Source organism: Homo sapiens, chromosome 4, assembly GCF_000001405.40.
Source record: "Homo sapiens chromosome 4, GRCh38.p14 Primary Assembly".
NCBI classification, from domain to species: domain Eukaryota; kingdom Metazoa; phylum Chordata; class Mammalia; order Primates; family Hominidae; genus Homo; species Homo sapiens.
In genome coordinates, this window is record NC_000004.12 from 73699978 (window position 1) to 73724236 (window position 24259).

At 38.1% G+C, this 24259-nt stretch overlaps 2 long non-coding RNA genes across 3 annotated transcripts, besides 1 other annotated feature; one reads left to right on the forward strand and one right to left on the reverse strand.

Annotated features, from left to right (window-relative positions):
- Nucleotides 1–377: 377 nt before the first annotated feature.
- On the reverse strand, nt 378–21093 carry INKILN (inflammatory MKL1 (MRTFA) interacting lncRNA). 2 transcript variants are annotated; one of them, NR_185098.1, is made up of 3 exons: nt 21007–21093; nt 6360–6598; nt 378–578 (listed from the first exon to the last, which is right to left on the reverse strand). It is a non-coding gene; the product is annotated as an inflammatory MKL1 (MRTFA) interacting lncRNA (long non-coding RNA). The 2 variants fall into 2 exon arrangements; NR_185097.1 differs by lacking the exon at nt 378–578 and having other exon boundaries at nt 6345–6598.
- Nucleotides 8015–8309: an enhancer, noted in NCBI's record as "tiled region #6280; K562 Activating DNase unmatched - State 5:Enh". NCBI's record gives its function as "activates a minimal TATA promoter and a strong SV40 promoter by Sharpr-MPRA in K562 cells {active_cell/tissue: K562}" and the evidence as "EXISTENCE:reporter gene assay evidence [ECO:0000049][PMID:27701403]".
- UMLILO (upstream master lncRNA of the inflammatory chemokine locus) lies at nt 10370–14550 on the forward strand. Its single transcript, NR_186371.1, has 3 exons — nt 10370–10418; nt 13360–13478; nt 14189–14550. It is a non-coding gene; the product is annotated as an upstream master lncRNA of the inflammatory chemokine locus (long non-coding RNA).
- Nucleotides 21094–24259: the final 3166 nt, after the last annotated feature.

A 24259-nucleotide genomic window follows, 5' to 3' on the forward strand; every position in this document is an offset into this window, starting at 1 on the left:
AGTAGGTGGAAAATGGGAACTTTGAATTAAGAAAAGAATTGCTAGCATCCTAGCTTGAAGCTACATTATTCAATATTGTGGCTTTATTTCCAGAAATAAGTGACTTGTATATGAATGTCTGACCATTCTTTCCAGTAAGCCAATGTACTACTTGCATTCTTGATTATGAGCCTTACCATCTTGAATCTCAGTCATATCCATATGATAAAACTATGCTAGGTGATAGGGATCCAAAGCTGAATGGTCCATGATCCCTGCACCGAAGAAACTCATTGTCAGTAATGGCAAATAAAAATAATTTGAGCTATATTATAGAGCTAAGTGGTAATAGTTAACACTTCAATTTCAATTTTTACAGAAAATTGTGAAGCATGTCTATAATATATTGTTTAAATAAAGTAGTCCAAGATCATACAACTATAGGATGTTACTCAAGGCTTGAACTGGCACGGTTTATGAGACAGCACTTGAAGTTCTGAAGAATGACAGAGGAAGAAGAACCTGAAGCCAATGACAGCTTCCGAGGGGAAATCATGTTTCAGCTTAGTCTTGAAGAATGCACAGTAAACTCTGCATCCCTGGTGGACAAGACAGTTGAGGACATTTCATGTGGAAGAAAAGGAAGGAAAGAGATTGTGAAAAAAAGAGATCATTACAGCAACTCTTGATATTTAATATGTCAAGTCCTCTTTCTTTGTTCTTAGTTCCATTGGGTAATTTTCTATATATATGTTGATATCAATTTGTTTTAATCAGATAATTGACCGAGGAAACATATATATATATATATATATTTTTTTTTTTTCGAGACAGAGTCTTACTCTGTCACCCAGGCTGGAGTGCAGTGGCGCGATCTCAGCTCACTGCAAGCTCCGCCTCCCGGGTTCACGCCATTCTCCTGCCTCAGCCTCCCGAGTAGCTGGAACTACGGGGGCCACCACAACGTCTGGCTAATTTTTTTGTATTTTTAGTAGAGACGGGGTTTCACCATGTTAGCTAGGATGGTCTCCATCTCCTGACCTCGTGATCCACCCGCCTTGGCCTCCCAAAGTAATGGGATTACAGGTGTGAGCCACCACGCCCGGCTGGAAACATAACTTTTAATAACCTCAGAAATAGACTACTGTATGAACACTTGATATGAAAGAGGTAGCATCATATAACGTGGAAAAAGGTGCTGGGACAATTGAGTACCTGTATGGGAAAAAATCAAACTGGACCCTGTATTGTATGCCGTGGTGCCCTTCCCAGTTCTCCCCTTCAGAGTGATGACACTAATTGTTCCAGCTGCAATATTGCTGGTTGACAGGTCGCAGCTGAATCACTCCTCAGGAATTGCCCTTGGCCTAAAGGAGCTGCCTTGCTGAAGGCTGTGGTCCCTCCCTGAAGGCAGCTCACATCGAGACTAGCTGATGTGGGGATACAAATTCTATCAATTTGAGACAAGCTGAAAGCTATTATGGGACCTGCCAAGGCCTCCACTGCATATGCTTCACCATTCGTTTCTCCTCTGCCCAAATCTGCCTTCCTCACCTTTTTTCAGGTACAGTTCCCATGCTCATGGTCCAATAAACCACATGTTTACAAATCACCATCTCAGAGATCTTCCCAGGGAGGTCTACCTAAGACCCCTAACTTACACCATACCCCACAATCAGCTCCAGGTAAATTAAAACTAAAGTACAGAAAGATGGAAATAATTTGCACAAGGTTATACATCTGAACGAGAAAAGAGCTGAGATTTAAACCTGAGAAGTCTGGCTCTAGAGTCTCTGCTCTTAATCCCTAATGGCAAATAAAATAAACCACTTATGGCTGCATGGAATGTCATGGATGAATTACACAAACACATTGTGGAGCAAATGAAGCAAGGCACAAAAAAATACAAAAAGTATGATTTCACTTACGTGAAGCACAAAAGCAGGCAACATAAGTTGGATTGTTTAGAAATGCATACACAGATAGTAAAGATATAAAGAAAGGCAAAGGAATGACTATGGAAAAAATCAGGAGGTGATTACTCAAAGGGAACAGGAAGAGGTGAAATAGGGGAGAGGGTTCTGAGAATGTTGGTAATGTGTTATTTCTTCATCTGAATGGTGGTTACACATATGAACATTTACCATTTATTTGTGTTTAACATTTATAATAATGGTTTTAAACTATAGGTATGTGTTCTTTTCTTTCTTTCTTTTTCTTTTTTTTTTTTTTTGAGATGGAGTCTTGCTCTTGTTGCCCAGGCTAGAGTGTAATGGAGAGGTCTCTGCTTACTGCAACCTCCACCTCCCGAGTTCAAGCGATTCTCCTGCCTCAGCCTCCCAAGTAGCTGGGATTTACAGGCATGTGCCACCATGTCCGGTTAATTTTTGTATTGTTAATAGAGATGGGGTTTCACCATGTTGGCCAGGCTGGTCTTGAACTCCTGACCTCAGATGATCCACCTGCCTCGGCCTCCCAAAGTGCTGGGATTACAGGTGTGAGCCATTGCACCCAGCCAGATATGTGTTCTTTTCACTTTTTTTTGTGAATGTGACATATCTTACAATTAAAAAATTGGAATAGAGAAATCCATGGTGAGAGGTGAGATGACTGCAGTAGAGAACCCTGTGAAAGATATGCTAAGGGTCAGGGTCACAGGGCTCTGTGTATAAGTGTTAGAGAGGGTTTTACTTCTTTTCTCTTCAGCCTTCACCATAAAATTTTGCAGAAGCCTTCACAAGTTGTCTGGTTATGAGCAAGCAACTCTGAAGTCCTGGTGATCCAGAGAGGTGTTGCTTCTGATCTCTTTTCACTATGGAGCCACAGAGAGCTGAACTTCCCATCTCCCAGGGGAGCTTTGAGGCCCATGTTTTAATTTGCCTGCCTAGCTTTCTCTCCTGCATGGCGTTAGGCATCTCGGAGGCAACATTCTAAAACAAAACTCATCAGTAGCAGGATGAGCCTTGAAAATTCTTTCTTTTTCTTCCTGAGATTGAGTTCATATAGCATGAAATCATAAGGAAAACAAACATCCTTGTAACATAATCACACATGAGATGGCCACAAGATCTGAGTAGTATGAAAGGTCTGATTACCTTGCAGGTACTACTTCCCTCCAGGACAGCTCCCTCTCATCCTTTGCTCCTATGTCATTTGGCAGGCAAAGAGTTGGGGATAAAGGGCTAATACTGAGGTTAAAAGGAGGGAACCACTGGAAGTCCTGAGCAAAGGGGGTTTGGGGTAGAAGAAAAGAGTAGGATGAGGGGTATGAGGGTCCTTAACCAACTTTAGGGAGTTGACCAACTGAGTGAACTGAAAGTCAACAACTGTGATATTGCAACAGTATGAGAAATGTGTGCCCAAGGCAGTGACTAGGGTTCAGACACCACCCTGGACTCCCAAGTCATTCCTACCTTATATTTTTGTAATTCTTTCCAGATATTTGTCAAACTAAGATTTAGGCCATGTAGGACAAGGATTGATCTGTTCCCTGTCATCCTCAATGGGAACACAGTTCTGGAGGCTCCACATACATTCAGTTTACCGACTCTACAAGCACATGTTAAGCATCAAGTATCTGAATAGGGCTCTGAAAGCCACAGATAGCACAATTCTTTCTATCAAGGAGCTCACAGTGTGGCTGAGGAGGCAACAGGCTATCTGACAAGGAGAGTGCCAAGCCCTTCTCAGGATGTGGGATAGGTCTCAGGGATAGCCCCTGTCTTAAAGAGTATACCTATGAGTTAAAATACATAATCATGAAAGAGAAAACTGAGATGAAGGAGTGTTAGACTTGAAGTAAGAGTTTTGGAAAAAAATTCTAGGAGAAATAGTTGAAGAGCTGAGTTTTGAAAACGAGTAGTTATTATTGTTACATTGAATTTAATTATCTTTCTGAAAAAAAGTTTTCTTTAAATTTATATTTTTTTCTTCTCACAGCTTTTATAGTGTCGTGCTTTGAATCCAGTAAGTGCATAAGGAATTGGGGAAGGACGTTTGGGGAAGGGGCTGGAGTAGTTTTAAAGGTTAAGACTTCCAGAAGGGACATGTAAGCATACATATATAAGCATTTATTTCTTTCAAATATGACTTCTTGGGCAATTAATGGAATAACACTTTAATTAAAGTCCTTTTATGATAACATAGAGCAGTGGAGCATGGCTAGGAAAAATGAAGAATCATACTCTTTCCTATCTTGATTCTTCAATGGATTCTTGAAAAAGTGTAAGAAGAGGTAAACTCATTATTTGATAGTTTAGAAACCTAGCCAACTCTGCAGGCATTTATCAAGACATTTCAATTGTTTGGTTTTATGAAAGTCTTTGTTTCCATCATTATTGCAAAGAATAAACTTTTATTTGTTCACTGAAGAGTTTCTAAAGCGTTGGAATTTTAGCAGCAGGAAATTCATTTCTCAACTTGCACTTATCGCCTAAGAGGCATCAAATTGCTCATGAATTAATAGGCTAAAAGGCCTTATTGTTTCCTGGTGGGACTCTTTCACAGCGCTGGAGAAAACTGAATACCAAGTGTTGCTCATCATGTGTCTTGGGATATGTTACTGAGGGTCTGAGATTTACATAGAATTTATAGGAAGCAATGAAACCGAGTTAAGTAGAGAGGAATCTAGATCCTAGAACAATGCTGTGGAGTCAGAAGGCTGTGCCAACAGAACCTTTAGCTACTACTTCTTTCGCACATGCACTGAGTCAGAAAATGCTGTTTCATGGGCTGTAGCTACTTGTCAGGCCACTGACTCAACAAACTGAAATATTAGCCAAGTAAAATGTTGCGCAATTCCAGCTGCTCATTCATAGCACAATCTGTAGCCTCAGATTTGCCAGTCTTAGTCGACTAAGAGGAGCCGACATGAGGCAAAAGGAGAAACAGTCTGACCTTAGCTATAAAGGACAACAGGATGCCAGCACACTAGGGTCATGAGTGCTCTTTTCCTCTTTCATTGAATTGGCGGGCCCATGACTAATTTATGCAAATATGACATGGAAAATAATTTCTTGAAGAGAGCTGCTTTGTGCCAAATTCTCCCTGCTTTTCTTTTGGTCTGGTCTATGGATGATATTAGCTTATTTTAGGGTCAGGCTTCCAATTTTCCTGCAAGACAGGGCCAAGAAATGTTTATTTCACAAAGAGGCCAAGGTCTCAGATGCAAGACTACAACTGAGTGAGGCCCCAGAGGAGGATGACAATAGAAGATGGTTTCACTGGCATTCCATTCCTTTCTCCTCCCCACACCCAATCTCAGAGTGGCCATGGTTCACTGAAGGAATAGTAATTGTCATTTAAACCTGGGAACAGTGGTGCTTGGTACTTGAGGGGTGACTCATTTAAATTTATTCACGTTCCCACTGGAAAAACTCTCTTCTCTCAACTAACAGGATATGAATACCAATTCCCTAAGGTCATTAAGATACTAGAAGGAACTTTCATTATAATAAAATAAAGTATCTAGAAAAATTATTCTGCAATAGGAGAATGATAGTCCCTTGGTTCTATAGGAGCCCATTGTTGGTCAACAAGCGTTTCCAGGCATCGCTTACAGTCCCTCTGAATTCTACCTGCGATGCGGTCTAAACATACTGCTCCTCCACCTGCACTGTCTTGAACTGGGTGGCTCCATTTTTTTCCCTAGATTTCATTCATTTTCTTTTTCTCCATCTAGTTAGCTCTGTTGGCAGAGAATGTTTGTCCTAGAGTTTGTTCTCATTGGACTGCTTGGTGAAGGTGGTTCTTTTAACACAAGCTGTGGCTCTAGAAATGAAGCATTAAAGATCGAGTATTTATTCCTCATGGGCTAGACATCCTTTTCCATGTGTTGAACTGCTATAGCATTCTGTATTCAAGTAGGAATTCCCAGTAATTAGCTCTGGGTCCACTTTTATTGCTCCCAATCCATGTCTACTGGAAACACTGAGTTCTGAGCAATGACTAATGTCTGCATGCCCTGGTGAATGAATGATCATAAGTGAAGGTGGAGAGAAATAGCACTTCACAGGTGGAAGGGACCTAAAAAATAAATCTGCCCCATCTCTCTCAATTTCCTGATGAACAAAGAGATATTCAGAGAAGTTACTCATTCACAGTTGCTTGTTGGTGGTAGCCAAGTCTCTGATATCCACTTCTAAGGCACTGTTAGTTACACTATGATGTCTATTATCTTAACATTATGAAAAGGGTTGCAATAAAATATATTCAGTTCTACAAATAGTTATTGATTCTCTCCTATGTACAACTACAGTTTATCATATGCTGGTCACAGATGTCAGTGCTGGGGATACCCACAAAGTCTTTGCTCTCCTGGAGTTCACATTTAACCCAAGGATAGATTACAAGAAAAACACGATTTGTATTATGGTTATGACCTTTAGTTGTCACACTATGCAATGAGATAATTTGCACTGGAAATGGCTGGCTGCATGTTGCTTTACAAGTGTAGTAAGCATGTTATCTTCTGTCTTCTGTGGCATTCCAGATTTAAAACTCTTCTGCTCCATGAGTGCATGCTTAGGGCCAGGTATCCTGTTTTCTGGTTCTGAAGATGTGGTCACAGTAATCATGGCACTTGGCAGGGTAGGCTGTTTAGAAGGCATGCAACAAGCAACTGGAGGAAACCAGAGAGAAAGCCAAAGAAGAAAGTTATCCAAAACCAGTTGGGAAAATTTGTTTTATACTATTTTAGATTATATATATATATATATATTTTGCTAAGGAGTTATAGTAAATCAGAGTTTTCTGTAAATATTTTTTGTAAAAAATTAATTACCTCATGAAATAGAAAATAAAGGAGTTGAGGGGAGCACTGAAGAGACTCCAGCAATGTGGCCACTGGAAGGCAGCTTCTCTGTAGAAAGGCCTTGCCTTAACCCTGGTAAAATAACCCCTCAGACCTTTTTTGCCTTTGATTTCAAGCTTTTTTCAAAAAAAAAAACAACAAACAAAAAAAACCCACAACATTCTACTGACTGGATTACAGCGTAGAACGCTGGCATTCTGAAGGTTTTAAATAAAATATTACTAATGCCACTATATATATAAACCAAATTGTCTGAATTCTTCTAGGCAGCAACTGTGTCTATAACAGTGACTTGATAATTTAGACAAAAGTAATCCATCAAAGAAAAGTTATCCATGTGTTCCACATATGCCATGCTAAGTAGTCTGTCCTCCACAGACAAGACCTAGTCCTTGCCCTAGGGTAGCTTATATCCAGATGGAGAGACAACATGAGATAGATACTCCTGGTCAGATATTCTTAGTAGCAAATCAGACTAAAGGCCACAGTAAGTCCAGAACCTTAGTTTCCAACGACATAAATGCAGAAAACTTGTACACTCTAACTCATTACACTGATGTGATGATTATAATATGCATAAAGATGTCTAGATTACAGACTTTTGAGAAGTCACAATCAGGATCCTATTTGAGTTAAGTAGAATATCTGATTAAAACATCTATGTTGAGTACCTACTATGTGGCATATAGTAGGTGCTCAGTATAGATGTTTGCTAGCTATTTAATTTGATTGATCCCATGAGGGCTCACATTTCATGATGCTTTACAGCACAGGTCCCCAGTCCCCGGGCCTGGACCAGTGTGTGACCTATTAGGAACCAGGATGCACAGCAGGAGGTGAGTGGCGGGTGAGCAAGAAAAGGTTCATTTGTGTTTACAGCTGCTCCCCATTGCTTGCACTACCATCTGAGCTCCACCTTTTGTCAGATCAGCTGTGGCATTAGATTCTCATAGGAGCACAAATCCTCCTGTGAACTGTGCATGGGAGGGATCTCGGTTGCATGCTCCTTATGAGAATCTAATATCTGATGATCTGTTACTGTCTCCCATCATCTGCAGATGGGACCATCTAGTTGCAGGAAAACAAGCTCAGGGCATCTACTGACTCTACATTATGGTGAGTTTTATAAGTATTATCTCATTATATATTACAATGTAGTAATAATAGAAATAAAGTGCACAATAAGTGTAATGTGCTTGAATCACCCCTAAACTATCTCCCTACCCCTTGTCTGTGGAAAGATTGTCTTCCATGAAACTGGTCCCTGGTGCCAAAACGGTTGGGAACCGCTGCTTTATAGCACTCAAGATAAGCAAAGTGCCTGCAGCCAAGGATGTGAGTCACCAGAACTAGGTGGAAGAACCACTCTGAGAAAGAAACTGCTAGCACAGGAAAGCAAAAACGACTTCCTCTTGCAATCGTGTCTTAAGAATTTCTGTTAGAATTTTCTTTTCCATTTCTTTCTCTTTTTTATTTTCTTTATAAACTTTTAAAGCCAGTTTCACAACTTGCATATAAAGAATGTCAGCTGCTTTATTAGTGGTGTTCCACTTGGCACTTATAGGGAAGCCGGGCAGTCCCGGTTCTTAGGATAAACACACTTTATAGTGGATTTTCTTTATCCAGCCCAGCAGGCTGGCTCTTTCCTTGGGAATAATATTGGGCATGTGATTGTTCCATCTTCAGATCCTGTATCAACCCGCACATGCTCTTCCAGCTTGCAGCTTTCAAAACCAAAGACATGGCTCCCAAACTAGCTACTTTCCAAATCTATTTTAATGAAGGTGCTTCAGGGAGCTGATGATACCAATCCACAAAACAATTTCACAGGGAGAACTGGGCCCATTGTCTCAGCTCTGTGTCTTAGTAGCTTTGCAAAAGATCATTTCCCAGAGCCTGAGTTTCCAATGACATAAATGCAAACAATTTGTAAAATCTAACTCATTACACTGATGTGGATGATTATAATATGCATATTGATGTCTAGATTGCTGACTTTTGAGAGTATAATAAAGCAAATGTTACAAAGAAGGTGAAAATGCAAATATATATTAAGAATCTGCTTTAAGCTAGGCATGTGCTGGCTTTATATATGGTTCTATTTATTTGATTTTTAATACAATTTTATAAGAAGAGAGTATTAGTTATATTTGATAGGTAAAATAATGAGGACTCAGTTATTCAGAGTCACACAGGCAGCAAACAGAGGGATTGGGATTCTACTTATAAACGATTTGACTTTATACCAGTGCTCTTTCAACTGGACTAGGTGGCTGCTGCCACACAATAAATCACACCATCAGAGAATCTTCTAGGTAACTGTTTCACTAAAATGCAATTTCTCTGAACAAAGAACGACAATTTTTGGCCAGGAGAGACATTCTGAGACTATACAAAAGTATACAAGGATCACTTACCTTCTTAAAAAATATTGTTCTGCCTGTGATCCTTTTAGAAAATAGAAAACAACAATAGAAAACTCCAGTGGAGATTTAAGAATTTAGTTCAGAACATTACATTCCTTTAGATTATAGTTTAGCAAAAATTGGTGGATTATTCATTTATGAAAAAGATTAAATCTCTGACAACGTACATAATAAAAACTACCATACATATTGATATTTAATTTAATAAATATCAATACATATTAATATTTAATTGATTTATTGAAAAGAATAGAGAGATTGGGCAAGGTTGCTAAGGGTCAGGTTCACTCTGACAAAGGTCTGGTCTCTCTGATTTCCACCATTGCTTAACTTATTCCAAAATATGTAGCCTCATTTTAAGGTAAATAACTATGAGACGAGAGACAAGTGTGAAAACATTGTGTTTTCTTTCCAGGACGCTGAATTGAACTGATGTCATTGTAAAAAGGGAAATGAGTTCTCTGGCTAGGTTTGGGGAACAAACCTCAGACTATCAAGAGTTCTTGAATTTTGTGACCAGTGTCCTGAGCAATTGGCTTCATCTAGGCCTCAGATCACAAAACAGAGTTGTATAAAATGGAAAGTGCAATGCTTTTTTAGTAAAATAACTTTTCTCTTCCTTCCTTTCTTGCTTTTTTCCTTCCTTCCTTCCTCCCTCCCTCCCTCTCTTCCTTCCTTCCTTCCTTCTTTCCTTCCCCCACTTTTTTTTTGGCAGGGGGATAGAATGTAAGACTATATATATCAGATAATTCTCTGGGCTACATTTTAAAATTTTCATCTGATAATTTACTTTTGTTTCTGTGTGGTAGGAGTGAGAGCTCTCAATTATTTAGCACTAATTGTGTGCCAGGTTCCATCTGAAGGCTTGACAAGAGTCACCTTAATTCTTTGCCATATTTTGAGGTAGATACTACTGGCACCATTTTTTAGACTGAGAAAGGAGATGTAGAAAGGATAAGATGTTGTCCAAATCCACATTGACAGTAAGTTTTGGACATGAGTCTTTAATCTAGCAATATCCGACTTTAGAGTGTGTTCTTAAGCACTACTCTATAAGTTTTAAGCAGCTCCTTTATGATGTCATTGAACCGGGTTTTCCAGTCACATTATACATGTGGAGATTAAGACCCATAATAACAATGACAACACTTTCATAACAGTTCATCTGTGTTAACATACAAATTCTCGCAGCAACACTCCAGGTAAGTGCTCTTTTTATCTCAGTTTTATGGATTAGTAACTGAATGCAGAGAGGTTAAGCAACTTGTCCAAGATCACATAGGAGTAGGTAGTAGAATTGGGATTTAAAGCCACACTCTTAACCACAATTCTACTCTGTCCCTCTGAGTTATAAATTTAATTAGTATGACATAAATATATGTGCAGCTCTTTTAAAGATTTACTGTGCATATTTTTAAAATTGTTACAACATAAGCATTCTAGGCTTTTATTAGTCCTCCAACTTTAACATTTATGCTTTCATTTTTATCTTGTAAAGTCTTAATTTATAATAAAAAATGGATGTGTACTGTCCCATATGTCTTCTTTATTTATTTATTTATTTATTTATTTGAGATGGATTCTCCCTCTGTTGCCCTGGCTGGAGTGCAGTGGTGCCATCTTGGCTCACTACAACCTCTGCCTCCTGGGTTCAATCGATTCTCCCACCTCAGCCTCCCAAGTAGCTAGGATTACAGGCTCCCACCACCAGGCCCAGCTAATTTTTTTGTATTTTTGGTAGAGACAGGCTTTCACCATATTGGCCAGGTTGGTCTTGAACTCCTGACCTCATGTGATCCGCCTGCCTTGGCCTCCCAAAGTCCTGGGATTACAGGTGTGAGCCACTGCACTGGCCCCGTATAAAGAGGAAGATTTTCCAAACACTGATGAAACCTCTAACAACATACTCTGCAGTTCATAGATCGTTCCTACCTAGAATTTAATTCGTATATGCATACTGTTTCTTCAAAGCATTAAGAATGTGCAAACAAGACTTCTTGGAAAAATGAGGCATATGGCATGCACAGTCATGAGCTTCATGGCAGGAGGGCAAGGGGAACACTAAGTCACTTGGGGCCATGAGAAAGGAACTCTGGTCCTGTCCTGTCCTTTCCCAGAGCAGGGATCCTAACACTTCTAAGAGAAGGGCCATTGGTAGCCTCTAGTTCTCAGAACTGTTTGTCCGCTAATGAAAATTAACACACTTGATTTTGGACAGGTTAATGTGAGATATCTATTATTTCCCCAGTGAGATATCATGTTGGCAGTTGGATATATTCAAGTCTTGAGTCAGTTGATACCGACTAGATAGATAGATACATAAATACATACATACATAGAAAATATTAACAGCAAAATGATGCTGATGGCTCAGGATGTGTGTTGAGACAGACAGAACTGGGTTTTGTCATTCAAGCCGTTATTCACACCCAGTGTCACCTAGGCCAAGGTTTGAGCTGCAATTACTTCAACTGTGAAATGAGGTTTCCTTCAACAGATATATATTGAATGCCTAGAATGTTCCAAGCACTGTTCTAGGTACTGCATAGAGCAGTGAAAAAAAAAAAAAACCTGACAAAATCTTCGCCCTTCTTAAGTTTATATTCTAGTGTGTGTGTAGGAAGGAGGGGAACATGGAAAGTCAGGTACTAAATTGGTGAAAAGGGAAAATATATAGTATGTCAGATGCTTACAAGTATTAAAGAATAAAATAATGCAGAGAAGGTGAAAGGAAGTATTTGCTGCAGGAAGAGATGAGGAGCTGAAGATGGTGAGAGTTAGAATTGTAAATAGGACAGTCAAAAAAACCTTCACAGAGAAGCAAAAATTCTAAGGCAGGAGAGGGAGGGAGTCAGGTAGCTATCTGAGAGAAGACTGTTTCAGCAGATGGAAACAGTCTTCAACAGAGGAAAGAGCTATTGCAAAGACTCAACGCCTTGTGAGATAAAGGGAAAAAAATCAATGTAGCTGAAACAGACTGAATGGAAATCAAGAGGCCATAGAAACCACAGAGGGGTTGAAGATGTCACTGCAGTTTTAGGCTGAGAGACTGGAAAGATGGAGCTACTGATTACTGAAATGGAAAACTCTTTGGGAGGAGTATATAATTTTGGACAAGTTAAGTTTGAGATTTCTATTGCTGCCCAAGCGAGTTGTCAAGGAGCCATTTGGATAGTCATATCTGGAGTCAGCAAAGGAGACCAGGCTGTACATACACATGTGCAAATTGTCAGCTTTTGAGGATATTTATAGCCACAAAAAGTGGGGATAGGTAGAGAAGGAAAGAGGTCTCAGTTCCAAGGGATTGGAGTTGGCTACTGTTTAGAAATCTAGGAGGAACCAGCAACAGAATGACAGAGAAACCAGCAACAGGGTGGTAGAGAAAATTCAGGAATGTGTAGTATCCTGGAAGCCAAAGGAAGAGGAAGAGAAAGTAAGCTTCTACGTGAAATGTTGCAGATAAGCTACTTTCTTCACAGCATTACTGCATGAGTTAAATAAAATGCTATTTGTACAAAACAGCATAATATCTGGCACAGCACTGCAGGTAAAGCTTGTTTTCATTTTCTACAATGAAGTTTTAAATGAATATTTAAAAATATATTTTGGACTTCTCAAAGCAAAATGTAATCCCATTTATAATTTCATAAAGACATTTTATCTGCTAATATCAGGACATCATTTTCTCAAACACAATGAAACTTTTTAAATGTGAGAAAATAAAATACTTCTCAGAGGTATTTCATAAAAGCTTAAGATAGACTCTTTTTGCCTCATAACTTTTATGTATAATTTAATAAAAGGTAGTAATGAGAAAATCAGATCTAATATATAGAATTTTGTTTCATAACCAAATTTTTAGAAATAAGTCATCTTATATATTAAAGAATAGCTAGAAGGAGAGAGGGATGAATTTTATGTATAAAATTTATGTATAATAATTTTTCCTTATAAAATTTATGTATAATTTTATAAAAGGTAATAATGAGAAAATCAGATCTAATACATAGAATTTTGTTGCATAATCAAATTTTTAGAAATAAATTATCTTATATATTAAAGGATAGCTAGAAGGAGAGAGGGATGATGAAAGGAAAAGAACAAGACATTTTTCATGCTTACTCTGTGTGACACGCTCTGCAGGGCGCTTTATGTGTGGATCTTTTTTAGTCTGCATATTAACCCTACAAGTTGGAAATGGCTCCTCTCAAACACTGGAGATAGAGCAGCCCAAATGTATCTGCTACTGTGGTGCCTTCCATGTGAGTATTTTCTCCAAATGCTAATTTGGAGAAAACAATTTATATGAACGGAGACACTATTACTTATTTGCCCTCAAAAATGAAAGTGACCCAAGGCTGGAGATAGGAATTTGTCCCAAACAATGTCTTCAGCCACCCCTCCAAACAAAGTTTGAAAGGGATGTGAATAAGTAAATGCAGAATCAGAATTTTCTATCTCTTCTGGCCTAAGTTCTTCATTTCTTAGTTGAAGATAACCAAGGCCAAATCACGTAATCAAATGACAGAAAATTATTCTGGAGACACAACCAGGCATATCAGATCTGTCTGTTTTTGGCTTGTGATGTCCACACACAACACCTGTGAACAGGTGCACTCAGCCTACCAGGAAATGCACTCATCATGTGTCATCTACAGATTTTCTCAAGACTAGAGCATTTGTGAGAAATGACCGTAAGGCTTTCCCTGTGGAGTTGAATACAAAGATTGAACATAGACATTTTGAATAATCCTAGTGACTTGCGGATCCAGTTTCCATAGAGCACTAGTTTCTCTAAGGCCACAGTCACTAAATGAGGTTCCATGGCAGGTGTAAAATCTCACTGGGTGATTGTGTCATGCTGTGCTTACAGCACTATGTTGGGGGAGAAGAGAGGAAAACCTATTATTGAAATCTGTGCTATTTTACATGACCTTTTAATTACTTATTTTTAAAACATCTCTCCTTCTAGAATGCAAAACTCTCTGAGGAGCTGAGAATATGTCTACTGCTACCAAAATTGTAACCCCCATCATCTAGTAAAGAGTTGGTACACGGTGAACATTTGCTGTGGGAATGTATTCTGCTTCATTCCAGAGGCCTGCCAATTCTTAATCTCACTATAGGCTGAAGAGCTGCTCACATAGAATACTTGTAGTGACTTCCATTTTCACCAGTTTAGATCAGTGGACAGAGAGATGCTGAATTACTGCTCAAGAAGTATAGATCCACATGCCTTCAACTTCAGAATCTTAAATTAGAGGCGAATGTTGAGTCTACTAAACTGTATAGTCTGTAAAGGCAGGAACTGTATTTATCTCAGTCATATTTAATCCCAAGAGTCTTCATAGTACCTGGCCCATATCCGTTGTTCAATAATTGGTTTTTTAAATACCTAACTTATTAAACAATGTGTTTGATTAAACAGCAGTGACAAAAAAGGGCTTACTCAGTCTTAAGTGCTAGAAGTAAAGACAGTCATGAGGGGCTTGCAATGAGCTCCACTGGGGGGAATTTTTCTTCTTCACATTTTTGTACAATGAATGTCATCACAGGACACAGCAGATACCCAAGAAATATTATTTTAAGGTATACTATACTCAAAGAAAACCAGGAAAGCCAAAAGACTCTTAATTAATAGAAAACTGCTGAGTCAATAGGATAGCTCATATAAATAAATTGTGTTCAGAATTTGATTTTCTAAATTAAAAAAAATTATGTAGTAATATCTCGAGTATAACAAATGTTTTAAGAATGGATTTGTGAAACTACGGCCATTTAAATAATATCTTGAAATGTTCAAATATCAAATCTTTATTGAATTATATTCTACATAGTGATTAATCAAAAACTAAACTAGATCTTAATTCTCACTGTAGAAAGTAAGTAGTCTTATAATATATTTGTAAAATTAACATTTTAATGTTTAATTATGTCCGTTTGGATAGAAACAAACTTAGAGCTGATAGTGACCCCATTGAGGTCTGATAGGGTCTCTTAACGTTGAAGAAGCAGTAAAATCAGTAACAGCTTTCATTCATCTTCAGGAACTGTATATGGTTATACTTTGTTATACCAATGGTTTCTTAGACTTGTGAACCAGTTATGGATAATAGCCCAATAAGAACAGAATAGTAGCCCATAAATCAAGCTGTGTCTCCTATTCAACTACATAAAGATACAACTATATATATATATATATTTTTTTTTCCAAACAGGTCTCACTCCATTGCTCAGGCTGGAACTTTTATGATTTTTTTAAGCTCATAAGGGAGTAATTCTTAATTGTTAGGTGGAGCTCAAGAAGGGTCAGTGAAGACCCGCAAAGTGGTCAAAATGCCAGGCTGAGCTGCTCTTCAGTTTGGATGCCTGCAACAAAAATGAAACAAAACAAGAAAACAAGCAAAAAAAAATCACTTTTTGTTCTGTAAAACTTTACATTTGGAAACTTACCAACTGGTAACATGAGAGGATTAAATGAAGATAACGATCAAGTAAAATAACTGGCATAGCACCTGGTTCTAATAGGCTTCTATAAATGCTGCTTCCCACCACTCCTCTCTCTTCCACCTGTTTCACCTTTTGAGAACCCTGAATCATGACTTCCAGCTACATTATGCCTGGGCATCATGACTATTCAGCTCCCTGAAGGGAATGCCTTCTGATGATTGACACTTAGTATCTCTTTCTTACTCCTCTGCCTATCCCCTTGTCTTATTCCCTTACTACTCTCAACCAGGAAGCTGGAGTAGCTGAAAGTAGATTTCTTCCAACACGAAAATGCCTAGGTCATTAGGTACATAAGAGGTGCTAACTAACTGATAAATAAATAAGGAGAGAGACAGAGAGAGAAAGGAAGGAAGGAAGGACAAAACCTAAGATAGTATAAGCCACTGCTAACCTGTGATGTTAGATCTAAGACGTCAAAGAGGAACTGGAGTGCTGGTGATTCCACCACTGTGATGCCTTGCTGTGGTCACAGTGCAAGCGCTGGGTATATATGTCATTCTAAACTGGAGATATAGGACCTATTTCATGTGAGAACAAGCCTGTTTGATATCAGACATCACCTGGTCAAGCCCTAGCATTGACCATTATTCCAAAGAAATAAAAAAACTCCTCTGTGAGATCAGGCTCAAAGGACAGGACTTGAGTTTAAAATAAATTTCTGAAAAGACTCAAAATCAAAGAGCATGAAGTTGTGGCTAACCTGCAGAGAATGCCTATGGATTTGCTTTTTAGTTCTCAGAAAATGAGATGAGCGGGGCATCAGCTGAAGTTGAGAAGGACTAAATGTAGAGACACCTAAGGAGATTACTACTTTTTATAGTGATTAATGCTCTTAATGAAGTCATTCTTCCAACTTACCACTTTGTAAGAGGTTTATATACATTCACAGCTGCCCCTCTTCCTTCAGCAAACCAATGGTATGGGAGATATAGCACTTGACTTGGAATCAGGCAGTCTGATTTAGAATCTGGCTTTTCACTATCAGCTGTATTAGCATGGTAAGTCACTTAAATGTTCTAATCCTTGTTGTCCACTCCACTCCCCACTGCAAAATGAGGATATAGTAGATTCTGCTGGTGCCCATCCAGCCCCATTCCCTTTCCCAGACCAGTGCACCCACTCTCCAGCTACCAGAAGTGCTGGCTGATAATGGCTGACAGTTGCCACTTTGCCAGGAGAAATGTCCTTGTCTGGAGAAATGTCCTTGCACCTCACCTCCTTCCCCTCATAGCTCACTGGCAATGAGTAGCCAACATCAGTAATGGGGAGTAATAATGAATGTCTATTTCACAGAGTTGTTAGGATGAAATAATTTAGCATACATGAAAATGCCTATGATGCTAAAGTAAATGCTGAAATTAAAAAAAAAAAAGAACAGACCAGGCACAGTGGCTCATGCCTATAATCCAGGCACTTTTGGAGGCTAAGGCGGGAGGATCACTTGAGCCCAGGAGTTCAACACCAGCCTGGACAACACGAGGCAAGTCCTGTCTCTACCAAAAAAAAAAAAAAAAAAAAAAAAAAAAATTACCCAGGTGTGGTGGCACATGCCCATAGTCCTATCTACTTGGGAGGCTGAGGCAAAAGGATATCTTGGGCCCAAGAAGTCAAGGCTACAGTGAGCTGTGATTGGACCACTGCACTCCTGAGCAACAGGTGAGACCCCGTCTCAAAAAAAAAAAATAAAAAAGGAACTAAGAAAATTATAGCCCATTGCTAACCTCTAAAATTAGACTCATTACATCAAAGAAGATAGCCACAAATTTTTACACTTTCTAAGAGAAAATTCTGGTGGAATGGATGGCATATCCGATTCAGAATGGCAGTGTTTGTGTTCTCACATGTGGAACAGGCTTTTTACATCATCAGAAGAAATGCTGTCAAATGGTTATGCCAATAATGTGTGAGGTAAGAGGATATTGTCCTCGATGTCAGGCTGTCTTCCTTAGCAACTTCCTGGAAAATTACAAACATTTATACTTTCAAATAAGTAGAATGTTTGGCGTGGCTCATTGCTGCTCTTTACCCATTGGAAGCTGATTTGAGATTTGTTTTGATTTAGGCCTTTCAAATAAGCAACTAAGAGTAATTCTCTTTGTAAATGATAGTGACCATAGTTGCACTCTTTGTTGAATGCATATTGTATACTGATTACTCTACATACAGTAATTATATCAGTTAATCCTTCAAGGGAGTTACAATTATCCCAACTTTGTACACAAGGAACCGTGGACTCCATCATTAAATAATTGGCTGAGGTCACCCCACTGGTAAGTGTGTCAGATTCATGGTTGGAAGCCGGCTTTGTATGACCATACGGTCTGCGCTCTTGCCACCATTTTCTTTAGAGCCGAATTAGGGCTGTGTGTGGAAAGGCACATGTCCATGTTTTTATTTTATGCTTTCACTCTTTTTTCCCCTCACACAACTTGCACAATGAACCTGTTTTTCTCTCTCTCTTCAACTATGTGGTTTGTTTCATTTGTTTTTTAAACTCTTAGTGAGATTGCTAAAGCTGGGAGAAACAGTCACCGATGGGCCTCTCCTTAGGCTGCTCAGATGACTCTCTTAATTTCCATAGAGTTTGATATTTCTATGTTGACTGAGGAAACTGAGATATTTCTGACCACATATAGTAGACCAAACACTTAACTAAATATTTTTGCCTATGCTGTCTTGTTCAGTTCTCAAAACAGTCCGGGAAGTAGTAATTATTAGCCCCAATTTATATATGAGAAACTTGGGGAGAAGACAGATTAAATAACTTGGTCAAAGTCACATGGTGGGCAGCAGGTTTAGGATTTTTTTTCTAATGCACTTAACTCCAAACTCTGTGTTATTTTTATTGCACATTGCTGCATGTTGCCTAAATACCTGAAAGCATTGTTTCCATTTTTCCAGTTATTGGTCTCTTTTAAGAATAATAACTTCAGTTCTGTCATTTTGTTATGATCTAGTGGTAACCCAAGGAGGAAGGAAAACTATTGTCTCAGAGAAAATGTGATGTTGAAAGTCTAAAGAGTAGATTACCTTGTAAGTATTTTGGTTTCTAAAGAGAAAAATGTGAAGTCATTGAGCCATGAAAAAAGCTGACTCAAATTTAAAAGATTGTTTTGAGTATTAGTGTTCTAGCAAAATGACAGTGGTTTGTGGCAATTTCCTCCTTTAACACAGTCACTGTGGAAGGACTAGAATGGTTAGAATTACACCCTGGCCTAATCACCAGAAGATGGAAGAGAAGTAAATTATATGTATGAACTATTCTGAGCACAGATATTTACAAAGAACTACTAAAGGGATTACAAAAGGAAGATTCTCATTTATTGGTGAATCAGAACTGTGGAATTGAATGGTGCAATTATTTTATATAATGTGAGAATGGGCTAATGTGAGAAATCATCCTTAATACTCATATCTTTCACAGATTGGGGAAGAAAATCTTCCTGACCCTGGATGCAGGATTTCACAATATTTCAATGTTATTATGAGTACATAGGTAAAAGGTAGAAAGAAGATGTGATAATGATATGTCTGGCAAACTTGTGGCTACTCTGCCAAAGATAATCACAAGATACCAATAGTGGGATCAAGTGAACCTGAGTTGAGGAAGTTAAGTAAGAATGTTATTACTAAACAGAAGTACCTCAAGTCTCCCATGAAATATTCTGGCATTACCTCCCTTTTCAAAAAATGTTCTTCAAAATTGGTTATTATTTGGAGCGTGTTGATCATTTTCCCCTTTAAAGATGATGCTGAAACATTATGGTGCCTGCTTATGTTAATCTATTCTGAAAACATGTTTTCAGAGCAACAATGAATTGCTCATAAAAATTTTCCCTAGAGCCACGTTAGTTATATTCTTAGCAGTTGCTCAAAATTCAAGATGCTGGCAATAATTGTTTGCTTGTTAAAGTATATCTAATCTGGGGATTCATTCAGCTAATCTCTACTAGATAGATTGTAATCTTTCTCTTTTTTAAATTCATTTTTTTTTGTTTATTTTTTCGTAAGGCTGGTCAAGGTATGCTGAGTTAAAAAGTGAAGTGTCAAAATGACATACCATTAAGCTGACCTAATAGGGTAGCTCAAATAAATATCATATTTGGACTGAACATAGAGATTATTGAAAACTTTCTTGGTAATACATGGTTATTCTTTAGAATTGCATATCGAAGCTTAGTTTTGTAACAGCTCATATATCTCAAAGATTTTATGATTTTAAATACAAGCACATATTCCTATCAGAAATTTGAATTTAAATTCTGAAATGTAAAAAAATTCACGTTTTTTGAGAGAGATGACACAAAGGCAAAGCATATCATGGCCTTATCATAGCTATACTTTGAGACATCTCAACTTTTTGTGGGTGTTTGACTGAGGAACTTTAAAGGACCTATTTACTTTTTCTGACATATCCCTCAAATGAGACCAACACTGTTGAAGTTCCATTTGTAAATTTATCACTAAGACAGCTGCAGAAAGGGATAAAGAGGATGAGTGTAACTCCAGCCACTAGTTTAGTAGATGAAGAATCTGATGTCCAAAGAGATTAAGCGGCTTTCTCAAGGTCACAGAGCAAGCAAGCAATGGAGCCAGTGCTCAGAACCCAATTTTCTGAAGTCCTGCTCAGTTTAGACCACTTGGGAAGTGCTTTAAAGCAAGGATAAATTATGTAAAATAAATTAATATGCTTAATTATCAGCCTTTAATATTGCAGGACAGAGTCTATTAACTGAGATTTATCTGGTCTGCTAAGCACGCAACAAGATGATTTTAATAATCAAGTTTTATAAATGGTTTACCATGAAAACTGTAGTCTACATCTTTCAGTCAAAGGGAAATAGAAGATCAAATGATTAGGTTAGTCCATAGATAAAATTCCAAATTTTATATGAGTTTCCTTGATAAGAGCCCTCTAAAGGGGTCTTAACACATAGGTTAGCTCTTGTGCCACTAAAAATGTTGTCCTTTTTGACATTTAGAATCTTTGTTCACTTTGTAAGTAGAAATCTCTTGCCCATAAAAACATGAACAAATATTTACAACTCTTCAAATTGTAGTTCTATTTTAGGTTTGAAATACACAACATTTGTACAAGTTAAAAATGGAGATTAGAATCTTATAATGTAGGATTTGGACGAGATGACTTCTAAACACACCTATAGTTCTCAAATCCTAGGTATGACAATAAGTGATTGTATTAGTTCATTTTCATGCTGCTGATAAAGACATACTCAAGACTGGGCAATTTACAAAAGAAAGAGTTTTAATTGGACTTACAGTTCCATGTGACCAGGGAAGCCTCACAAACAGGGTGGAAGGCAAGGAGGAGCAAGTCATATCTTACAGGGTGGCAGGCAAAGAGAGAGCTTGTGCAGGCAAACTCCCATCTTTTAAAACCATCAGATCTTGTGAGATTCATTCACTATCACGAGAACAGCACAGGAAATACCCGCTCCCATAATTCAATCACCTCCCACCAGGTTCCCCCCATGACACGTGGGAATTATGGGAGTTACAATTCAAGATGAGGTTTGGGTGGGGACACAGCCAAAACATATCAATAATTGAGTAATTGCTATATCTTATGTACAATGGGATTAGTGTGATAAATTTACTCATTCGGAAAAAAGAGAAAGGATCAGCAAAAGGGAGAAAAAACTTTCAATATTAACAATTATTTATTAGTGGTCTTAGTATTACAGAATCCAAATACCATAGAACTTTAAAATAGTCTGAAAACAAAGAGATTTAGATAATTTTTTCTCAAATAATTATTATTAAGAAGATTGCTGAATCTTGGATAATCAGTATCTTTATAATTTCTTCATTATGCTAGTGTTGTGTATTGTGCAATTTCCTTATTACAATGCTTCATGGGCTAATGACGCAATAGCAGATGTGTATCATGGATAAATGAGAAAAGCTTGTAGATTCTCAGTTCTGGAAAAGCCTTGGAGCTCATGGAGTGTGGTTAAGAAGGCAGGCTCTGGAATTTGATATTAAAGTTTGAATCCTGCTCTGTCATATACTCCTATGGGACCTTGAACAAGCTGCATATCCTCTCTGCCTCAATGTACTCATTAGCTAATTGGGATAATAATAGTACTGATCTCATAGGGTTATTGAGAGGATTAAATGACTTAATACATGGCAAGCGCTGAGGATAGTTCCTGGCACATAGAAAATACAGTGTTAAATATTCTCTGCTATACCTGGCCAGGATTCTCATTTAAAAGATGAAAAAGTGAAAGTCATCAGTAGCAAATCACTTTTTATATTCCAGAGAATAGAGCTTTGTTTGTCATAGATATAAATCTGTATGATAAATCTCACTGTATTCTACAGTGAATAATGACAGCTCATCCTGAACTTTGAAAATAACTTTTTTTTCAATAAAAGAATGAGTTCAGTTTGACTCATGTGGTCCAGTACAGGGTCACTCCAGGGCTGGCCTTATAAGTCATTGGAACATCTAACTGTCTATGTCGTGTCTTTAGGAGATCTGGGAATGCCCCTTGTCAAAAATAATTTCCACCCACTGACTGATGTCTGCAGTTTTCTTTAGTTTAAGGAGTTGTCCCCTGTTGAAACACACATTTTTCTATTAGAAATAACAATTTGAGTTTTTAAAAATCATTTCTATAATCTTGTAAAAGACAATTCAAGAGATAGATTTTGATAAAGGGGAAAGGAGAAGAGAAAATGAGGATTCCGGGTCCTACAAGTGAACCATCCAATTGAAGTGGTCTGGGAACTTTGATAGCAGATTTCCCCACATTTTTTAATTTGTATAAATTTACAGGGTATAAATGTAGTTTTGTTATATTCATAGATTATGTAGTGGCAAAGTCAGTGCTTTTAGGATACCCATCACCCAGATAACATACATTATACCCATTCTCCACAATTTTCCTTGTAATCAGCTTTCCACCTCAATATTCCTAAAACAACATCTATCCTGGAATGAATGAGTCTGACTCTTTTCAGTGCACTAAGCCATATGCTGGGCACGATAAAGGAGGCAGAAGACTGAAATGACACAGTTTCTGTCCTTGCAGAGTGTACAATCTAGTAGCAGACAAAATACATGCACATGTAACTACAATAAATTGCTAAGCACAGCAGAGGCATGGAAATGAGCAGAAGTCAGTGGGAGATGACAGACCTGCACTTCTCCCCCTTGCAAGCAAAGTGCCTCCAATGGTATAGGAGAGAGCATGCAGAAGAAGCCTGACGGCCCATATAAGAGTGAAATTCCTTTCAAAGCATCTATTTCTTTTCTTGTTTATTTTAATGGAGCATCAAATCAGTATTTTAATTTGCTTTACAACCATGGAAATTTATGTTCCAGGGAGATGCCACGTTGATCCTGTGGCTTCTTATATAAGCAGATATAATGCCTTGTAACCCTGAGAATCAGGGTGACTTAGTCTGGTGCTTAGGTGTACGGAAGTGTGCAACCTAGCACCTAGAACCTTTCCTGCGTTAATGTCGTCATTCATCACCCACCACTGCTTACATAATTCCATTAGAAGCTATGATTCACAGTCTGGAAGGAAGCAAGGGATAGAGTGGCCTATGCTTTCTTTTCCATACACCAATTACAACCTGCTGATATTCCAACACCATTTGAATCAATAACTGGCAGAGAGAGAAAAGGATTGGGGAAAAATTAAGTCTCTGTAGGAGGTTCATGGTGATCATAACCCTACAGGGACCTTAACATTGTCAAGTGTGCCTGTAAGGGCCTGGCTTTCCCATTTGAAGTCCAATATTTTGATATATGCAAGATTATCCAAGATTCAGAAATCTTCGCAATAATAATTATTTAAGAAAGATTTATCTAAACGTCTTTATTTTCAGGCTATTTTAAAGTTTCATAGTATTTGGATTCTATAACACTAACAACACTAATAAGGCTTATTTTTTTTCTGTTCTAAGCAACATAAACAAGGAGATACTAGTTTTTAACCACTCTGGAAATAAATAAAGCTAAACTGAAGCATTCTCTACTCCCCTTCATTTTCCTTCCCACTTTTGAACTAGTTGGAGTTTTGTCTAACGTATTCTAATTGCTTTTGTTTGTGCAACAAAGAAAACATTGAAATTTGTATAATTTCTGGGCAGAACTAGTATGTTGTACTTCAAGGCTTTTTTATGTTTAACTTTATGAGTGTAACTTTTTTGTTTAAAGTAATATTGATGTCACAAATATTTTCAAATTCAGTAGATACTAAAAATTATTATAATTTTTTTTTGAAATGGAGTTTTACTATAGTGCTCAGGCTGGAGTGCAGTGGCTACTAAAAGGCATGATCCCACTATTGGCCAGCAAAAGAGTTTTGACCTGCTTAGACTCACGAGAAGGTCTTGTGAGTCTGACTTCTTAGAAGCTGTCATGTGAAAGCTGTGCCGGTGACTGGCTTCCCTGATCCTGCCCTGCTCCAGTCTGAGCCTCACTGACTCCGAGTGTTCAGCGTTTTAGTTGTGGAAATGAGTTGATAATTTGCACAGGCTGGCTCACCCTTTC